The 22,792-nt window shown below is 38.1% G+C and overlaps 1 long non-coding RNA gene across 1 annotated transcript in view; it reads left to right on the top strand.

Moving 5' to 3' along the window:
• ADAMTS9-AS2 (ADAMTS9 antisense RNA 2) overlaps positions 1 to 22,792 on the top strand; it is a 326,599-nt gene that overhangs the window by 93,084 nt on the left and 210,723 nt on the right. Inside the window, exon 2 of the long non-coding RNA NR_038264.1 lies at positions 21,512 to 21,792. This is a non-coding gene — a long non-coding RNA (ADAMTS9 antisense RNA 2). The remainder of the gene's footprint in view (positions 1 to 21,511; positions 21,793 to 22,792) is intronic.

A 22,792-nucleotide genomic window follows, 5' to 3' on the forward strand; every position in this document is an offset into this window, starting at 1 on the left:
CAGAAGTAGGCTTCAGAAAGTGGGTAATAACAAACTCCTCTGAGCTAAAGGAGCATGTTCTAACCCAATGCAAGGAAGCTAAGAACCTTGATAAAAGGTTAGAGGAATTGCTAACTAGAATAAACTGTTTAGAGAAGAATATAAATGACCTGATGGAGCTGAAAAACACAGCACGAGAACTTCATGGAGCATACACAAGTATCAATAGCTGGATCAATCAAGTGGAAAAAAGGATATCGGAGATTGAAGATCGACTTAATGAAATAAAGCATGAAGACAAGATTAGAGAAAAAAGAATGAAAAGGAATGAACAGAGCCTCCAAGAAATATGGGACTATGTGAAAAGACCAAACCTACATTTGATTGGTATACATGAAAGTGACAGAGAGAATGGAACCAAGCTGGAAAACACATTTCAGAATATTGTCCAGGAGAACTTCAACCTAGCAAGACAAGCCAACGTTCAAATTCAGGAAATACGGAGAACACCACAAAGATACTCCTCAAGAAGAGCAATCCTAACACATATAATCATCAGATTCACGAAGGTTGAAATGAAGGAAAAAATGTTAAGGGCAGCCAGAGAGAAGGTCGTGTTACCCACAAAGGGAAGCCCATCAGACTAACAGCAGATCTCTCAACAGAAACCCTACAAGCCAGAAGAGAGTGGGGGCCAATATTCAACATTCTTAAAGAAAAGAATTTTCAACTCAGAATTTCATACCCAGCCAAACTAAGCTCCATAAGTGAAGGAGAAGTAAAATCCTTTACAGGCAAGCAAATGCTGAGAGATTTTGTCATCACCAGGCCTGCTTTACAAGAGCTCCTGAAGGAAACACTAAATATGGAAAGGAAAAACTGGTACCAGCCACTGCAAAAACAAATCAAAATGTAAAGATCATTGACACTACGAAGAAATTGCATCAACTAATGGGCAAAATAACCAGCTAGCATCATAATGACAAGATCAAGTTCACACATAACAATATTAACCTTAAATGTAAATGGGCTAAATGCCCCAATTAAAAGGCACAGACTGGCAAATTGGATAAAGAGTCAAGACCCATCGGTGTGCTGTATTCAGGAGATCCATCTCACATGCAAAGACAAACATAGATTCAAGATAAAGGGATAAGGGAAGATTTACCAAGCAAATATAAAGCAAAAAAAAACAAAAACAAAAACAAAAAACAAAAACCAGGGGTTGCAATCCTAGTCTTGGATAAAACAGGCTTTAAACCAACAAAGATCAAAAGAGACAAAGAAGGGCATCACATAATGGTAAAGGGATCAATGCAACAAGAAGAGCTAACTATTCTAAATATATATGCACCCAATACAGGAGCACCCAGATTCATAAAGCAAGTTCTTAGAGACCTACAAAGAGACTTAGACTCCCACACAATGGTAGTGGGAGACTTTAATACCCCACTGTCAATATTAGACAGATCAATGAGACAGAAAATTAACAAGGATATTCAGGACTTGAACTCAGCTTTGGACCAAGCAGACCTAATAGACATCTACAGAACTCTCCACCCCAAATCAACAGAATATACGTTCTTCTCAACACCACTTCACACTTATTCTGAAATTGACCACATAATTGGAAGTAAAACATTCTTCAGCAAATACAAAAGAATGGAAATCATAATAAAGAGTCTCTTTAGCTGTGTCCCAGAGACTCTGGTACATTGTGTCTTTGTTCTCGTTGGTTTCAAAGTGCAATCAAATTAGAACTCAGCATTAAGAAACTCACTCAAAACCGCACAACTACATGGAAACTGAACAACCTGCTCCTGAATGACTACTGAGTAAATAATGAAATTAAGGCAGAAATAAATAAGTTCTTTGAAACCAATGAGGACATGGACACAATGTACTAGAATCTCTGAGACACAGCTTAAAGTAGTGTTTAGAGGGAAATTTATAGCACTAAATGCCCACAGGAGAAAGTGGGAAAGATCTAAAATCAACATGCTAACATCACAATTAAAAGAAATAGAGAAGCAAGAGCAAACAAACTGAAAAGCTAGCAGAAGACAAGAAATAACTAAGATGAGAGCAGAACTGAAGGAGACAGAGACACGAAAAACCCTTCAAAAAAATCAATGAATCCAGGAGCTGGTTTTTTGAAAAGATTAACAAAGTAGACAGACCACTAGCCAGACTAATAAAGAAGAAAAGAGAGAAGGATCAAATAGACACAATAAAAAATGATAAGGGGGATATCACCACTAATGCCACAGAAGTACAAACTACCATCAGAGAATATTATAAACACCTCTATGAAAATAATCTACAAAATCTAGAAGAAATGGATAAATTCCTGGACACATACACCCTCCCAAGACTAAACCAGGAAGAAGTTGAATCCCTGAATAGACCAATAACAAGTTCCAAAATTGAGACAGTAATTAATAGCCAATGAACCAAAAAAAGCCCAGGACCAGACAGATTCACAGTCGAATTCTACCAAAGGTGCAAAGAGGAGCTGGTACCATTCCTTCTGAAACTATTCTGAAAAATAGAAAAAGAAGGACTCCTCCCTAACTCATTTTATGAGGGCAGCATCATTCTGATACCAAAACCTGGAGAGACACAACAGAAAAAGAAAATTTGAGGCCAATATCCCTGATGAACATCGATGCAAAAATCATCAGTAAAACACTGGCAAACCGAATCCAGCAGCACATCAAAAAACTTATCCACCACGATCAAGTCGGCTTCATCCTTGGGATGCAAGGCTAGTTCACACACACAAATCAATAAACATAATCCATCACATAAACAGAACCAATAACAAAAACCACATGATATCTCAATAGATGCAGAAAGGCCTTTGATAAAATTCAACATCCCATCATGCTAAAACCACTCAATAAACTAGGTATTGATGGAACTTATCTCAAAATAATAAGAGCTATTTAAGACAAACTCACCGCCAATATCATACTAAATAGGCAAAAGCTGGAAGCATTCCTTTTGAAAACCGGCACAAGAAGGATGCTCTCTCTCACCACTCCTATTCAACATAATATTCGAAGTTTTGGCCCCGGCAATCAGGTTAGAGAAAGAAATAAAGGGTATTCAAATAGGAAGAGAGGAAGTCCAATTATCTCTGTTTGCATATGACATGACTGTATATTTAGAAAACCGCATCTAAAAAAAGCCCTCAGACTCCTTAAGCTGATAAGCAACTTCAGCAAAGTCTCAGAATACAAAATCAATGTGCAAAAGTCACAAGCATTCCTATACACCAACAATAGATAGCCAAATCATGAGTGAACTCCCATTCACAATTGTTACAAAGAGAATAAAATACCTAGGAATACACTTACAAGGGATGTGAAGGACCTCTTCAAGGAGAAACACAAACCACCACTCAAGGAAATAAGAGAGGACACAAACAAATTGAAAAACATTCAATGCTCATGGATAGGAAGAATTAATATTGTGAAAATGGCCATACTGCCCAAAGTAATTTATAGATTTATGCTATTCCCATCAAGCTACCACTGACTTTCTTCACAGAATTTGAAAAAAACTACTTTAAATTTCATGTGGAACCAAAAAAGAGCCCATATAGCCAAGACAATCCTAAGCAAAAAGAACAAAGCTGGAGGCATCATGCTACCTGACTTCAAACTATACTACAACGCTGCAGTAACCAAAACAGCATGGTACTGGTACCAAAAAATATATATAGAGGCCTCAGAAGTAATGCAACACATCTACAACCATCTGATCTTTGACAAATCTGACAAAAACAAGCAATGGGGAAAGGATTCCCTATTTAGTAAATGGTGTTGGAAAAACTCCCTAGCTGTACGCAGAAAACTGAAACTGGACCCCTTCCTTACACCTTATATAAAAGTCAACTAAGAGAGAGTAAAGGGCCGGGCATGGTGGCTCACGCCTGTAATCCCAGCACTTTGGGAGGCCGAGGCGGGCGGATCACGAGGTCAGGAGATCGAGACCATCCTGGCTAACACGGTGAAACCCTGTCTCTACTAAAAAATACAAAAAATTAGCCAGGCGTGGTGGTGGGTGCCTGTAGTCCCAGCTACACGGGAGGCTGAGGCAGGAGAATGGCATGAACCCAGGAGGCGGAGCTGGCAGTGAGCCAAGACTGCGCCACTGCACTCCAGCCTGGGTAAGAGAGCCAGACTCTGTCTCAAAAAAGAAAAAAAAAATAGATTAAAGATTTAAATAATTATAAAAACCCTTGAATAAAACCTAGGCAATACCATTCAGGACATAGGCGTGGGCAAAGACTTCATGACTAAAACACCATAAGCAATGGCAACGAAAGCCAAAATTGATAAATGGGATCTAATTGAACTAAAGAGCTTCTGCACAGCAAAATAAACTATCATCAGAGTGAACAGGCAACCTACAGAATGGGAGAAAGTTTTTGCAATCTATCCATCTGACAAAGGGCTACTATCCAGAATCTACAAGGAACATAAACAAATTTACAAGAAAATAACAAACAACCCCATCAAAAAGTGAGTGAAGGATATGAACAGACACTTTTCAAAAGAAGACATTTATGCAGCCAACAAACATGAAAAAAAGCTCGTGATCACTGGTCATTAGAGAAATGCAAATCAAAACCACAATGAGAAACCATCTCTCACCAGTTAGAATGGCTATCATTAAAAAGTCAGGAAAGAACAGATACTGGAGAGGATGTGGAGAAACAGGAATGCTTTTACACTGTTGGTGGGAATGTAAATTAGTTCAACCAGTGTGGAAGACAGTGTGGCAATTCCTCAAGGATCTAGAACTAGAAATACCATTTGACCCAGCAATCCCATTACTGGGTATATACCCTAAGGATTATAAATCATTCTACTATAAAGACACATGCACACCTATGTTTATTGTGGCACTATTCACAATAGCAAAGACTTGGAACCAACCCAAATCAGTGTTAGACCAGATAAAGAAAATGTGGCACATATACACCATGGAGTACTATGCAGCCATAAAAACGGATGAGTTCATGTCCTTTGCAGGGACGTGGATGAAGATGGAAACTATCATTATCAGCAAACTAATGCAGGAACAGAAAACCAAACACTGCACGTTCTGACTCATAAGTGGGAGCTGAACAATGAGAACACATGGGCACAGGGAAGGGAACATCGCACACTGGGGCCTATTGGGGTGTGGGGGACAAGGGGAAAGATAGCATTAGGAGAAACACCTAATGTAGATGCAGGGTTGATGGGTGCAGCAAACCACCATGGCACATGTATACCTGTGCAACAAACCTACACACTCTGTACATTTATCCCAGAACTTAAAGAATTAAAAAAAAAAAAGTACCACTTTGAGTGCCTGACACATCATAAATGCTAAAAATAAAAGTAGAGGCTAAATAAGACTCCTGCTGTATTTATCTCTACATATTTTGAATAACTGCCTTGCTCTGTGTTCTGCCTTGTTTTATTTATGTAGTTCTTGGCAAGGCTAATCCACAGTACTCATAATAGCTTATATAATAGCTCAGCTTTGCTGTACCACAATGGACTGAAACTTGTTGCCCCCAAATTCATATGTTGAAGCCCTAGCCCTCAGTGTGATGGTATTTGGAGATAGTGCCTTTGGGAGATAATTAGATTTAGATGACATCATAAGGATGGGTACTTCATGATGAGATTAGTGCCCTTATAAAAAGATACCCTAAAGAGCTTCCCCATTTCCCACCCCTTCCCATTATATGAGGATACAATGAGAAGGCTGCCATCTGCATGTCAGGAAGAGCACCTTCCCTGGGAAACCAGGTCAGCCAACACCTTGATCTTGAACTTTCCAGCTTCCAGAACTGTAATAAATAAATTCCTGTTGTTTAACCCACTCAGTCTATGGTATTTTTTTTACGACAGCCTGAGCTAAGACAAGCACATAATGTTTCGTTTATAGTAAATACAGCAAATAAAGTTTATACTTGTTGGGATATACTTGGTAGGAAGATAGTGGAATGTCAGTAGTCTTAGTTAGCCATGGTCTGCAATTTCAGCTCTCTAGAAAAAGTAAGCAGGGGAAATAAAATCAATTTTTTTTAAAAAAAGAAAAGCAAAAGGAAATAGGAACGACAGCGGATGCGAATGTTGTTTTCCAGCATCTGGGTCTATCTTCTATGTTTCTGGGAAATTGTGGCTGCTGAATTTTCGCTACAACTCACGTCTGGGTTTAGAAATTTTTTATAGAGGTAAATTAATCTTTTTTTAAGCTACAGCTATGCAATACAATTCCTAAGCTTAAAAAACAGGTGCTGTATTGCATTCATTCAGTGATATTTATTGAGGGCTTTCTGCATGTCAGGTACTCTTAAAGTAGCTAGAGATACAGCAGTGATCAAATAGACAAACATCCCTACCATTTTTTAAGTCTCTCTTTTTTTTATTGAGGTAAAATTTACATAATATAAAATTAGTCATTTAAAAGTGAATAATTCAGTGGCATTTAGTACATTAACAATGTTGTACAACCACCACCTCTATCTAGTTCCAAAGCATTTTCATACTCCAAAATGAAAGCATGTGCCTGGGAATCAGTCACCCTCTACTCCCCAAATCTGACCCCTGGTAACCACAATTTATGTTCTATCTCTATAGGTTTTTCCTATAAATGGGATAATATGTGACCTTTTGTGTCTGGCCTTTTTCACGTAGCAGAATCTTTTCACGGTTCATCTACATTGTGGCATGTATCAATACTTTATTCTTTTTTAAGGCTGAATAATGTTCTGTTGTATGGATATACGACAGTTTGCTTATCCATACATCTGTTGATGGACATGTGGGTTGTTTCCACCTTTTGGCTATTGTGGATAGTGCTGCTATGAACATGCGTGTACATGTACTTCTTTGAGTACCTTTTTCAATTCTTGTGGGTATATACCTAACAATAGAATTGCTGGATCACATGGTAATTCTATATTTGACATTTTGAAGAAATGTCAAATTGTTTTCTATGGTGTCTGGCACTACTTTACATTCATACCAAAAATGTATGTGAGTTTCAATTTCTCCACATTCTCACCAATACTTTTATTTTCTATTTTTTGATTGTAGCCATCATAGTAGGTGTGAAGTAGCTGTCACTGTGTATCTGATTTACATTTTGCTTATGCTTAGTGATACAAAATGTCTTTTCATGTACTTGTTGTCCATTTCTTGGTTGGATATATCTTCTTTGGAGAAATGTCTATTCAAGGCATTCGTGTACTTTTAAATTGGTTTGTTGTTTATTGTTGAGTTGTAAGAACTCTTTATATACTCTCCATGCTAGATCCTTATCAGATATATGATTTACTAATATTCTATTGTATTTTATAGGCTATCTTCTCACTTTCTTGGTAATGGCCTTTGAAATTACAAAAATGTTTTTATTTTGGTGAAGTCTAGTTTATTTATTTTCTATTTTGTTGCTGTATCTTATCTAAGAACCTAAGGCCAAATCCAAGGTCACGAAGATTTAGTCCTATGCTTTTTTCTAAGAGTGTTTTGGTTTTAGCTTTCATATTTAGGTCATTGATACATTTAATGTTAATTTTTGTACGTTGTATGAGGTTGGAGTCCAGCTTTATTCTTTTACATGCAGATATTCAGTATCCCTACCATTTTGGAGAAAAATTGTAATATAGTGAAGATAATAAAAAGTCAGTTGACATTGTCACAGCCAAGAGGAGCCTAAGAATACATAAGAACTAAATGTAATATGGTACCTTGGATGAGATCCTGGAACAGAGAAAGGATGCTAGGTAAAAACTAAGGAAGTTTAAATAAAGTATAGACTTTAGTTTATAATAATTTATCAATCTTGATTAATTAATTGTGACAAATGTACCACACTAAGGTAAGATATTAATAACAGGGGAAACTGGTTATATATTGGTTCCCATAGAGTATATGGAAACTCTCTGTGCTAGCCTGACAATTTTTTGTAAGTCTAAAAATATTTCAAACTTAAAAGGTTATCTTAAAGGTAAACCAAAAGCATTAAAAAATGCCAGTATCTAGGAAGAAACCGAATGAAACATGTTCAAGATGTCCACATCGAAAACCGTTAAGCATGCTGAGTGAAATTGAAAAAGACTTAGATAAATAATGAGACATACTATGTTCATGGATTGGTAGACTGATTATTGTTTAGATGTTAGTTGTATCAAATTTGTTTACAGATTTAGTTCTATCCTAGTCAAAATATCAGGAAATGTTTATGTAGAAATTAACAAGTTTATTTTATAATTTATACAGAAACACAAATGACCAAGAATAGCCAAAACAATTTTCAAAAAGAACAAAGTTGGGAGACTTACATTACCTAATTTTCAGGCTTATTATAAAGCTCACATCATGACAATGTGGTCTTGAAATAGAAATGACATATAGATCAATGGAACAGAAGAAAATTCAGAAATAGACCCACATACCCACAATTGATTTTTTGAAAAGGTTTTAAAGTAATTAAATTGAGAAAGTAAAGTTTTTTTCTTATAATAACTGATGTGGGAACAGCTGGACATTCATATTAAAAATTAATTTTGATGTTTTCTTCATGCCATAAACCAAAATTAATTCAAAATGGATTTTAGGTCTAAATATAAAAGCCAAAACTATAATATTTGTAGATTAAAAGATTTCTTTTTAACTTTAGAGTAGGCAAAGATTTCTTAGATTAAAATAAAGGAAAAAAATAAATTAGACTTTATCAAAATGAAAACTTTCTACTCTTCAAAGGACACCTTTAGGAAAATCAAAAGGCAAGCCACAGACTGGAGGAAAATATTCTTAATACACGACTCTGACAGGGGACTTGTATCTGGAATATATGATTCAGAATATATAAAGAACTCCCAAACTCAATAATAAGTGACAAACAATTCAATTAAAAAAAACAGGCAAAAGGCTTGAAAAGGCACTTTATGAAAGAAGATATAAAGTTAATAAACCCATGAAAACATACCCAACATCACTAGCCTTCTGGAAAATGCACACTGAACCACAACAAGATGCCATTTCACAGTACTAGAATGGCTAGAGCTAAAATGACTAATAATAGCAAGTGTTGGCAAGGATGCAACTGGGACCCCCCCCCATACATTGCAACTATGTGTGTAAAACAGTACAGCTTTTTTTCTTTTTAAACATTTTGGCAGTTTTTTATAAAGTTAAACATGCATTTACCATATGACACTGCAATTTCACTCCTAGGCATTTAACAAAGAGAAATGAAAACATATACCCACTAAAAGACTAATGTCAACAACAGCTTTGTTCATAATAGGCAACAAGTGAGAACAACCCTTATGCCTATCAATAGCAGAATGGAGAAACACATTGTGGTATACAGTTGATCCTTGAGCAACATAGGCTTAAACTGCATGGGTCCACTTCCATGCACATTTCTTCAATACATATACTGGAAAATTTTTTGGAGATTTGCAACAATTTGAAAAAACTCACAGACAAACCACGTAGCCTAGAAATGTTGCAAAAATTAAGAAAAGGTATGTCCTGAATGCATAAAATATATGTCGATACTAGTGTATTTGTAAGTTAATTGACTGTTTACGATATTGGTAAGGTTTCTTCTGGCCAACCGCAGGCTATTAGTAGTGAAGTTTTAAGGAAATCAAAAGTTATGCCTGCATTTTTTACTGTGATGGGGGTGGTGCCCCTGACTCCTGTGTTGGTCAAGGGCTACCTGTATTCAAATGGTTGATACCATTTCATAGGAGCATTGTTTGCAATAGTGAAACTAAAGATAATCCAAATATCCATAAACAGGAAAATGGATAAACTGAAATATTCACATAATGGAAGACCATGAAAACTGAACATTAATGAATTCGAACTTCATGCACAAAAATATTAAGTGAAAGAAACAAAACTTAGAAGAACTCATGCAGTATGATAGTAAAGTGACATAAATTGTTTAGAAATTCTTATACACATAGGAAAAGTATGAGGAAGAAAAAGAGAATGGTGAACCCAAAATTCAGAATAGTAGTTTCCTTTCATAAGAGCTCCATGAGTTCGGGGCTTCTTGTCTGTTTTATTTTTAATGTTACTGTTTTCCAGTTCCTAGAACATTACTTGATATATAATAGTCACTCAAATAAACATTTTTGAAGAAATAAATAAGAGGAGAGGGGGATTGATATGGGCAGCTGCAGAAGGACTGGAAAAGTTTTATTACTTAAGCTGGATGATGGGTACACAGGGTGTATATAACAATATTCTGTATATTACATGGATGTGAGTATATAGACTTTTACATTATTAAATGTTATAATTTTTTTTTTGAAGACCAGGTCTTTGACACCCAGGCTGGAGTGCAGTGGTGCAATTCCAGCTCACTGCAGGCTTGACCTCCCTGGGCTCAGGTGATCCTCCCACCTCAGCCTCCTGAGTAGCTGGGCCTACAGGTGTACTCCACCACACCTGGCTAATGTTTTGTATCTTTTTGCAGAGACAAGGTTTCACCATGTTGCCCAGGTTGGTCTCAAACTCCTGGCTCAAGCGACCCTCCAATCTCACCCCCAAAGTGCTAGGATTACATGCATGACCCACTGTATCCAGCCATAAAATGTAATAAATTTTAAAATTAAAAAATACATTGTTAAACTTTCATATTGAAAATATTATCAAAGTGAGGAAAAAAACAGACATCCTCACTCCATCCCTCAGACCCAACTTCCTGTTGCCTCTGCCTTGGGTCTTACATTTGCCCTCAAAGGAAGAGGGTAGGATCAATGGGTACAGGGTGGGTGAGTCACAAAATGAGCCTCAGAGAGTTTGGTTATTCTCATATTTTAGGTAAAAAGTAGATTGAAAAAAGCATTTTACATTACAATTTTACATCAAAATGACCATGTTGCTGTGTCCCGCCTTGTCCTGCGTAAGAGCTAAAGAGAGAAAAAGAAACAGACAGGTAGGTCCATTTGGGGTGGACTTGAGGTCATGGGTAGCTTTTAAGATAGAGAAGCATTTAATTCTATTTCTTTCCTTTCTTTAGCTCTAGACATAATGTTTACAATATATGTATGTCTCTTTCAAATGAGTCAGTAAAGAAATGCCAGTACCAAGATGTCTCGAAAATATAATTTTAGAAAAAGGGGAAAAATGGCCCAATCTAATCACATGACAGCCTGCCAAAAACACCATTTCCCTAGCACCATGAGGATCAACTGAGATCATTCCTATTTTTTAGTTTCTTTTACACATTTTTTTTGTCTTTCAAAAATAAGCCATGTGTTTAAACAACTTGGAAGGTGAATGTTCTTATTAGTTTGACTGTTTCCACAGAGTATTTTAGTTCATTCCAGCAAGTTCTGGCTGAATGCCTATGATGTGCCTAACACCTTAAGGAAGCGTGGACAGCGGTAGGTTCTAGTTCAAAAGCAGCTCAAATACAGAAACCTCCACCGCAACCTACTTCATGAGTTAAGGAGCTGGGTAATTTCACTCACTGCCGTATTATGGAAAAGTCTACTTTGGTATTGTTGAATGTCATATGTGAGGTATGGAGTTTAATGCAAAGGACTAGGAATTGCATATTTTTTGATATGGAAAGAGAAGGAAAAAAAAACATGCAAACTAAGCCTTCAGTGCTGATAAATGCAAAGACTTACTGCTCACTCTGAGAAGCATATCCTTATGGCTGAAGTTCACCAGGGGAGGTGCTGGGAGTCAATGCCTAAGCAATACTCTAATCCCACTCTGGTGCAACCTGTTCCTGAACTTGGATAAGTCTAGGTTTGGTTTTCACATATGTACCATAAAACAAGCATCCTTAAGGTTTCACCTAGCTCTCATATAGCCTTTGCTTCTCTTCTACTACTTTTGTATCTTCTATACATACCCACAGTTCACAGACACACACACACACACACACATACACACCCCTCTTAGATGAGTTTCTTCAAATAGTTTTAGCAAACATTTCTAGAGGATCCAGCTGGGGTCTCAAACATAGAAACTCTGAGAGAATCATTTGCAACATATGTTAATTGAATTACTGAATGAATAACTGAACTCATTCATTCAATATAAATTTATACTATTTATGAGAACATGGTTAATGTCTCCCAAACTTCAATCATTTACACATCACTATTATGAATTGTGCTATATAATCTGTATAATTTGGAGCATTTTAGTTTTTCCTTAAAATGTCTCATTTTTACTCAAATGTAGTTTTAAAGCAAATGCTATATTACTCTTTTATAAAAAGAAAACCAATACTAGTCGGGAAATATTTCTTTAGGGAGACACAAAGAACAGTTGACTATAAGAGAAAAGATTGATAAATGTATATAGTAAGAACTTTTATTCATTACGAAAACTTAAAGATACTGAAAGGTAAATTGCAGACTGCAATAAGATAATCTGCAATATCTAGCTACACACAATCTACAAATAATTAGAATCAAAATATGTTAAAGTGACTAAAAATCAGTAAGAGTAGCACAAACAAGCCAAAAGAAAAATGGGCACAAAACAGCAGTAGGCATTTCACAGAAGAGATAAACACATGTATGCAACAGATGCATGAAGAAATTTTTAGTATTATTAGTGACCAGGAAAATACAAATCAAGATTAGATGAGATACCATTTTATAGATACTTGAGGGGCCCAAATGTAAAAAAGGCTGACAATGCCACGTATGGGAAAGGATAGAGAACCACAGGATTTCATATTCGCTACTGGTAGGAGTACAAATTGGTGCCATCCCATTGGATTCGAGTTTGGCATTATCCAAACCCGTTATCCCCTCTCCATATCCATTATTCATTATTCCTATACTCTCTGACCCAGCAGTTCTACCCCATTGAAAAGCTTACACACGCTCAGGAGAGATGCACACAAGTGTTCAGAGCACTGCTGCTCACAATGACAAAAGCCTGTAGACAGCCCAGGTGCTCATCAATTGGCGAGTGGATGCATAAACTGTGGTATATTCATAAATGGAATGAAATATGGCAGTCAAACTAAATGACCTGCAGCAACATCAACAATATGGCAATATATTAAGTGAAAAAAGTTCCTAAATATTGTGTAAGCATGATACCCTTTTTATAAAGTTTAAAACAACCAAACATAAGGGAAAAAGCTTAGAGATAAATACAGAGGCAATTAAACAATTTAAAAAGAAGGCAAGAGAATGGTGAGCATAGCACACAGGGTCAGATAGAGGGAGGCAAAAGGACAGAACAGGTGTGGTATCGGTAGATGAATAATATCCACGACTGTGAAGAGCTTAGCTTTTCTCTTGCATGGTGAGTTTAGGGGTACTGATTACGGTATAAAATAACTAGCAAAATAAATATAAGTGGGTGATGCAAGGACCAATAATGGCTGTGTCATAGAACAAGTATTGTAGTTAATCTACTTCTGTGCATCTGAGGTTCTTGAAGAAAACAAACACCACTTTTTATAAAGAGAAAGTATGTATTTCAAAAAGTAGAACAATTTTAAAAAGCTTTAAAGAGAGCATCTGTGAAATCATTCTCTGTACCACCAGTGCTGTACAAAGTATGGAAATCACTGCCCCGTCATATGACAGTGAGTAAGAGACTGCTTCTTCTCTCTAGAAATTTATGGCTGCTAGGGGAGGCACAAACGTGGGTAATTATAATAGAATCCACGAAGTGATAGGATAATCATAAAGAAGTAAGAACGCAGGGCAGGGGGCATGAAACCAGCCTGGGCATGGCGGAAGTCATCCTAAGAGGATGTAAAATCTAACCTTGCCCTTCAAACAGACAGATATTTTAGGCAGGGAAGCTCCATGCGTTAAGAACCTGAAGATCGGCCGGGCGCGGTGGCTCACGGGCCAGGCGCGGTTGCTCACGCCTGTAATCCCAGCACTTTGGGAGGCAGAGGCAGGCGGATCACGAGGTCAGGAGATCGAGACCATCCTGCCTAACACAGTGAAACCCCGTCTCTACTAAAAAAAATACAAAAAATTAGCCGGGCATGGTGGCGGGCGCTTGTAGTCTCGGCTACTGATGAGGCTGAGGCAGGACAATGGCGTGAACCCGGGAGGCGGAGCTCGCAGTGAGCCGAGATCGCGCCACTGCAGTCTAGCCTGCAGAGCAACACTACGTCTCAAAAAAAAAAAAAAAAAAAAAGAAACTGAAGGTAGAATATTGGAGTTGCTCCATTTGACTGGAGCAGGGAAACAGGGGAGTAAGAAGGGAGAGAAATGGGGCTTGGGAATTTGACAGGGGCCTCATCATTAGGAGACTTGGACAATGTATGATACTCTTGGGGCCTTATTTTGAGAGCTGCAGGAAGTCACTGAAGAGTTTAAGCCAGGGAGTGATATAATTAGATTTTTTTCCTTCACAAAAAGCAGGACCAGAAGCAGAAAGCATCAGTTAGATGAGGTAGAAGCTGGGTCAGTTGTCCAGGTGAGCCATGGTGGTGACTGCAAGTGTTGACAGTCAGGATGGAGAGAAGTACGCAGATTAGGGAGTTATTGAGGAGGTGGAATTAGTAAGACTCAAAGATCGATTGGATATAGGGATCAAATAAGAGGGGAATACTGAGAATAATTTTCTATATGGGCAGCTAAGGAGATAGTAGTGACAGACACTGAGACTTGGGCACTTGGGAGAAAGAATATGCAAATCTTCTTAAGTGACTCATTCCATTTGGCTAGACATTGGTTCACAGTATCTCAAAGCCTTCACAGATAAACCTGACATCTCTCCAGCCAAGTCTAATTTACACGCTCCAGAAATGGCAGATATCCTATTCTTGTTTCTAAACACTTGGACTGAATTATTAAAAGACTCCTTACAGCTACCATGTGAGGAACCTTTAAATAAAGGTTTCCCAAATCCGTGAGCTAACATTATAAAAGCTGTTTCACTTGATTTTCAAAGTAGTTCCTAGATTCATTACTTCCATAGCAAAAAGTTTAGGAGTATTGCTAACTATTCGTGCCATTGACTTCCAGAATATAAAATGAGGTCAGAGTTCCTCTGAAATTATTTTTCTTCTTTTTAAAGGCAAAATAATGATGTAAGTATGGCTATATTGCACAGCAGCTAAGTAATGAAATCTTTTGCTTTGAGTGCAACATAAAACAACTGCATATTTTCCTTTCATATTTTGGGCCATAAACATGTAAAGAAACCAACGTGAATTTCCTATAGAATGATTGCCAAAATGAAATTTTCTGATCGTTTGTTCAAAAAAGGGAATGCATGGGCCTATCTCCTGTAAGAGTACTATAAAGTAGCCAGGACTGTGGTCATTTTTATAGATAATTCCGAGAAACCTTTAAAGCAAGATGGTCAGGGGAGTGATACATCGCCAGGATGCAGGAAATACTGGCCCATTACCTCCAGATCAGTCCCCGAGGGTTACTGTTCATATTTGGCTTTGGGGACAGGAGTCAATAAAAATTTGTGTTCATAATACTTTATATACTCACATGCAGGCAGAAGGAAGGCTAAGGGAAGTAGAAATACCTTATTACATAGCACATAATAAGGACCATTAATATCAGCTGCCAATTCTGACACTACCAATGTGTGTGTTTATGTGGACTGTAGTGTCACGTGGTAGTTACTAGAATGGAGTTTGGTGTTAGAGAGATTGAAGTCAAATTGTAGCTTTGCCACTTAAGCAGCAATGTGATTTTGAACATGTTATCTAAACTCTCTGACCTTATTTTCTTCAATGGGACAATGTACCTCTTCCTTCAGTTTAATGAGTTAATGCAAGCAAAGACTCCAGACCAATATATCATAAGCATTCAATAAACAGAGATAATGTAAGTAAAGGAACATAAATACATTCTAATGATTCTTAGCAGGCTAAAATCTGATATTAGATCTAGGTGCCCAGTGTAACCAAAACATTGTAAAATACTCCTTACATTTGTGGATGGTTGATTTTTTAACATAGTCTACAGTAAGCATAATAATATCATATTTCATTGACTCCAAGATGTGTATTTTGTATATTTGAATAAGAAGTGTTGACTTTTCCTGCACATACATATCAAAACCTGTGGAAAGAATGACAGCAGATTGGAAGAAAACTTTAGATTCAATAATGGAACATTCTTTTAAGAAACACTGCATCATCAATGCCCTTGTTGACATGGAGAATGATGCTGTGAAGAGACAGACACTGGTGACCTTGATTTAAAAAATGATTCAGAAAAGCTGGACTTCTCTGCTTTCCTTTTTTTTCACATGCACAGAAGTAATGTTAGATAAAATATATATATATTATATATATCTCACTAGGACTGTTTATTAAATAGAGCACTTTTGATCAATATGAAATAAAAATTCTAGTGATAAAGCTCAGTGTTATAGTTTGTCAGCCTGTGCTCACTGTACTGGCACATACACAATAGACTGTCGTCTTACAACTGATGACAACTTAGCTTTATGGAAATATGGTATACCCAGAAAGTAAGGACAACAGAGAGAATTTAAAGAAGTTAGAAAACTGAGTTGATAAAGGAAGACATACCTGGGTTCAATCTCAGCTCCTTCATTTCCAGTTAACTTTGGACAAATGACCATCCTTCTAAGTCTCTAAAATGACAATTTTACTTAAGTCATTGAGTAAATTGTGTGGGTTAAATGAAATAATATAGATAAAATGTTTAACACCATATTCGTGCAAGTATTTCAATACTGCAATAAATGATTGGTATTATAGGCTGAGTATCCCTTATCCAAATGCTTGGGAAACAGAAGTGTTGTGGGTTTTAATTTTGGAATATCGGTATATATAAATTCATATTTGTATGAATTTATGTTTCATGTATGCCTTATACAAATAGCAGGTAACTTTATATAATACTTTAAATATTTTTGTGCATGAAACAAAGCTTTGACTTTGTTTTCACTGGGACCCATCACATGAGGTCAGGTGTGGAATTTTCCGTTTGTGGTGTCATGATGATCCTCAAAAAGCTTTGGATTTTGGAGCATTTCAGATTTTGGATTTTTAAATTAGGGATGCTTAACCTGTATTGTTATTATGGTAATAAACAATCAACTGGTAAACAGGAGGAATAAATGACTGTCAATCAAAAAAGTAGGGCTCTAGGTACTAACATTCTTGGAAACCATTGTCATTAACAGGGATTTCAGACAAGGCTTAAACTGGGAGATTTAAATGCGCATACACTAACCCCAAGACGTACAATTGAACTGCCTCATATGTGGGCAATTATGAAGAATGCTCTAGGATGAATAGTGCTTCATTTAACAGTGGTTAATGAGATGCTAGTATGTTACAGATACCTATGCCTTTCTTACTGATTCTCAAACTTAAGATTTCATTTAAAGAAAAAATAATTGTAGGTCTCTGGTGTTGACTTGAATCATCTTGTGTTACTTAAATGTATACATATAAAACTAGATGTAAACAATTATAAAGGTCAAATTGAATCAGAGGAAAAATTAAAGCAACACAAAACCAATAAAATAAAAAATGACTGCATTTGTTAAATGTAGTTGCAAAGTTGTTTTGCTGAAACCTAGTAGCTGTTTGCTACATAAGCATGGTGGTTTTGTTGTTGTTGTTGTTTTTGAGACAGAGTCTTGCTCTGTTTCCCAGGCTGGAGTGCATTGGCACAATCTTGGCTCACTGCAACCTCCACATCCCAGGTTCAAGTGATTCTCCTGCCTCAGCCTCCCGAGTAGCTGGGATTACAGGTGCATATCACCATGACTGGCTAATTTTTGTATTTTTAGTAGAGACAGGGTTTCACCATGTTAGCCAGGCTAGTATCAAACTCCTGACCTCAAGTGATCCAGCTGCCTCGGCCACCCAAAATGCTGGGATTACAGGCATGAGCCACTGCGCCGGGCCATGAGCATGGTTTTGACTGAACAAAAATTCATTTGAAGGCAGAGAGTACCATGACAAATACCAGAAGCTGGGAAGGGTGTGGGGGTTGAGGGAAGGATACAGAGAGACTGGTTAATGGGTACAAACATACAGTTAGATAGAAGGAATATGGCCTAACGTTCAATAGCAGAGTAGGGTAACTATAGTTAATAACAATCTATTGTATCTTTCAAAATAAATATCTAGAAGAGAGGACTTGAAATATTCCCAATGCAAAGAAATGGTAACTACTTGAGGTGATGGATAGTGCTAAATACCCTGATTTGATCATTACACACTATATGCCCATAACAAAATATCACATGTAGCCCATAAACATGTACAAATACCATGTATCAATTTTAAAAGTATAGATGCTCACTTAGAAAAAATAGATTCATTTGAGATCAGCCCATCTGAAACACTGAGTTGGGTGTGATGAGCCAGTTTCCTATCACATTTCTCTATTTAAACCACAGGAAAACTTTATCCCTTGTTTGACATACATTTATTAAGTCTGCCTTGATTCGTTTCTCATTATCCTGTAATAAATACAGTGTAGTTCCAATGCAATCATAAAGCTAAATGCAAATAAAGACATCACCTTATCCATTGCTTTGAAACATTATCCATTGCTTTGTAACACCACAATACTCAGGGTCTTAAGACAGCAATAATCTCAGTCAGGCCTCTGCTAACTGTCTCCTATGTTTTGGCTCTGTGTCTCCACCCAAATCTCATGTTGAATTGTAATTCTCAATGTTGGGGGAGGGGCCTGGTGGGAGACGATTGGATCACGGGGGCGGATTTCCCCTTTGCTATTCTCATGATAGTGAGTTTCCACAAGATCTGATGGTTTAAAAGTGTGTGGCACTTCCCCCTTCACTCTCTCTCCTGCTGCTATGGTAAGATGATAAGATGCATTTCCTTCCCCTTTGCCCTCTGCCATGATTGTAAGTTTCCTGAGACCTTCTAGTCATGCTTCCTGTTAATAGCCTGCGGTACTATGAGTCAATTAAACCTCTTTTCTTCATAAGTTACTCAGTCTCAGGTAGTTCTTTACAGCAGCGTGAAAACTGACCAATATACCATCATCTTATGAAGGCAGACCATTAGAATCTAGGCGGTTTCAGACTGGCTAGCAGGGCACACTTGACTTACGGTGGGCAAGATATGCATTAGGGCCTCACTTCCATAAGCAATTCATTTCTCCATCTCTGCAGCTAAGAAGAGTCAGCAAGTGTGGCTCCACTGGTCTTTTTTGGTCTCTAGTCACTGGCAGAGATGATGTGTATTTCTACTTCCTGCTGACTTTGAAAGGAGCCTTGGCCTGCATGTCCCTGTGTCTGGCAAGCTTTCCTGTCCTTGTATTTCCCAGTTGTCAGTTTAGCTCCCATGGCTTGAGGGATGGCTCTGCCATCCAGAAAGAAACAGGGAAGGTGAGAGAGGCAAGACCTGTCTTGCCTCCCACAGGCAGTTCAAACACCCTGAACTTTTCCTGTCTGCAGGGAGGGCATCTCTTAACCTAGCACCCTTGAATGCTGCCTGGAAGAGGAGGGAAAGGCCTCCAGAGTCCCTGAATGCCAGAGATGAACTTTCCTCATTCTGGCCTCTCCCTGTTGTCTTGGGCACAGTTAGCATTATCAGCTTTTGTCTACCTCTTATATTTGAGATAACAATGTTAATGACTGAGATGTGGCCTGCAATTCACCCATGACATTCCCATAATCCGTGCTGGCTTTTGTATTAGTGAAAGACTCATATTAAAAATACTTAATTGAAACAGCAGAGGTGTTGACTACTCGGAGTGGATGCTGGCCATTGGGATGGAGCAGGGTCCTGGGGGCCCCCTGCAATGCTAAACATTAACCCTTTAATTGATGAATTGTGGGGAGGTCAGGAATCATGAGGGGAGAAGGAGATAGTCTCTGGACACTGCAGTTTGCTACCTGGTCTGGAAATACTTTAGAACTTTGCTATCTGTGCATCTGTACTGGTGATGCCTGTTGAACAACTGGTTATGTGGTGTGGTGTGCATATATCCTAAAACAACAGGGTATGTGCCGAGAAAGAATTGGTGGACCAGGACCAGATTTCATCATCTAGTGCTTTAACTTGCTGTGTGACTTTGGGGAAGTCATGTCATTCCCTGTACCTCAGCTTTTCCATCATGCTAAGTGATTTTGAGGCTTCTTCCTAGTTGTAACATTAATTTTCACAATTTTAAAGCCATGATCCAGGCACCATTTTTATTCTTTGCTACAAAGAACAGTCAATATTGTGATTGAGCACCTGGGTCCTTCTACTTGGTCTGAGCCCTGCTGAATGATCCAGGGCAAGCTCTGTAAGTTTTCTAGGCCCCATTTGACGTATACCACACAGGATTGTGAGGGGGGTTAGAGGGGCTGATGCCAGAAAAGTACTCAGTACCTTGCTTGGTCCAGCAACACACAATAGGTGTTAGTTCTTACTAGATTTAATGGCTAGAGTGGGGTCAAGAGATACAGAACATCGCTCTTCATTTTTCAAGCCCATCCATGAATGCTGAGGTCATTTTTTGAGTACAAGCTGCCGTAGCTCCTGAGTTCCACTCCAGGTGTTGATGGAGCATTGAGACAGAGAGGGAGCCATGGCATCGGGCCATGTCCTCGGAGCGTGTGCCAGGCATGGCCCAAGGGCCCATTCTCTGATGTCTCAATCTGTTCAGCAGGACTCTACCCCATGCCAACTTTGTCTAAGCCACAGTTTGTTTTGAATTCATGGTGTAGTGAGATGTTCAGCAAAGAATTCTGCCTTTATTGGAATTTGGAAGTGGTGTTTGTAGGGCTCTCCATTTCAGACATTTTCTTTGTCCATTTGGAGGTGTGATTAGACCAGGGAGTGGTTGAGGGTCTGGGCAGACCATCTCCCAGTTAGAATTTCCCCTCTAAATTATAATCTGAAGGACATCAGCATGTAAAAGAACAATGGAGACTTAGAATTTCAATATAAGGGAGAATAAATGGACACACTGGTAAATTATAATTCATTGTAAGGTAATTGAAGTCCTAGGAATTTAGTGGCTGATATTGTTCAAGGGTCCAGGAAATGTGTTGACTTTAGGCTTGGCTGGTTTCAGAACTCTAGGCTTACATTTTGCTAATTTATTAATCCCAGTCAAAAAAAGAACACTTCACATCATTCCAGCAAAATCTCAGGTAGAATTCTCATGGGTCCAACTTATGTGTCCTTCTCTGATCCTACTGACAGCAAAGGAAGACAGTGCTCTGGCTGAGCTGAGGCCACAGACCATCCCCTTGGGATGATACGGCTGAACATATGCAAATCCAGCAGCTTTCCAGGGAAAAAAGAAAGTGTTAAAAGGAATTATTAAGTTCCGACTTCCCATACTAAGAATAGGGGAAAGGCTGGTTACCTCAAAGGAAATTGGAGGGTTTGTTCCTGAAGAAGCCAGTCAAAACCAACAGATCCCATTACAAGCAAGGGTTTAGAATGAAGGAAGCCATCAACGCACACAGTCCCACCAAAAAATGGGTATCTGGAAACTTTAGTGAAACAGCTGGATAAACCTGGTGTCAATTTTGACAAATCACTTTTCCACACTCTTTTCTTACAGCAAAGTCCTCGAGGTTCATTCATTCAGGAAGCCTCTGACCAGCCTTTACCATGCGCTGAGTGAGAAGCTGAGGATAAGGAAAGAGCAAGACCCCCAAGAAACCCTGATGTCTGGCTGAAAGCCGAAGCATGACGCAACTTTGCTATATTTCTCTCCAACAAGGATTTGTATATTTTCGCTTTCTCCTCAAGTAACACCTGGACCTGCTCCTTTCCCTTCAAACGCTGAGGGCTCAGTCTCCAAGTTCCTTTATGAAACAGGGTGTACCATCAGAGACGCAGGTAAGAAACCTGAACTGCGTGGCCTCACATAAACCCCACCACACCTCTGTCCTGGGCTCCTTCCCCGCAACAGGTGTAAAGACAAAAGGCTCATTGTCCTTTGGAGCCTATAGGATAAACAGAAAGAACATGTCCTTGCCGGTTAATCTGCCGGTGATAAAGAGTATTGTTTTATCTCCTGCCATCTCCACGTTCCAAGAGATGAATTCTATTGTGACACAAAGTCTGCTTTGTCCTTCCAACCCACTGAGATGTTTAAATTGGCCTCTCATATATTCCTTGGTTGTCACAATAAGAGCAATGAGTTGTTATAATGTGTTGAGAGGATCTTTCCCCCATGACAAGGAGACCATCATCTACAGAGATGCTATGATGCTGAGAAATAATGTGCTTCTCTTCTGCTCTAATTTTTTTTAATTAAGACTTTTATTTTTTGAGCAGTTATAGGTTTAGAGAAAAATTGAAGGGAAAGTACAGAGAGTTCCCATCTTCTCTCACCCCTTTCATCTCTGTTTCCATACGTTTGCTACAAATGATGAGCCAACAGCCATACGTTATTAACTAAAGTTCACAGTTTACATTAGGGTTCACTCTTTGCTTGTACATTCTATGGGTTTTGTCAAATATATGATAACCTGTATCCTCCATTATAGTACAATACAGAAGAATCTCACTGCCCTAAAAATCTCCTGTGTTCCTCCTGTGCATCCCTCCCTCCCATCCCCTGGGGAACCACTGATCTTTTTGCTGGCTCCAGTTTTACCTTTTTCAGAATGTGAGGTAGTTGGGAGTCATACAGTATATGTGTATATATATATGTGTATATATATGTGTATATACATATATATATACACATATATATACATATATATATACACATATATATACATATATATATATATAAAAAATAGCCTTTTTAGATGGATGTCTTTCCCATAGCAATATGCATTGAACTTTCCTCCATGACTTTGTGTGGCTCAATAGTTCATTTATTTTTGTT

The sequence above is a fragment of the Homo sapiens genome, chromosome 3 (genome assembly GCF_000001405.40).
Source record: "Homo sapiens chromosome 3, GRCh38.p14 Primary Assembly".
In the NCBI taxonomy this organism is placed as follows: Eukaryota; Metazoa; Chordata; class Mammalia; order Primates; family Hominidae; genus Homo; species Homo sapiens.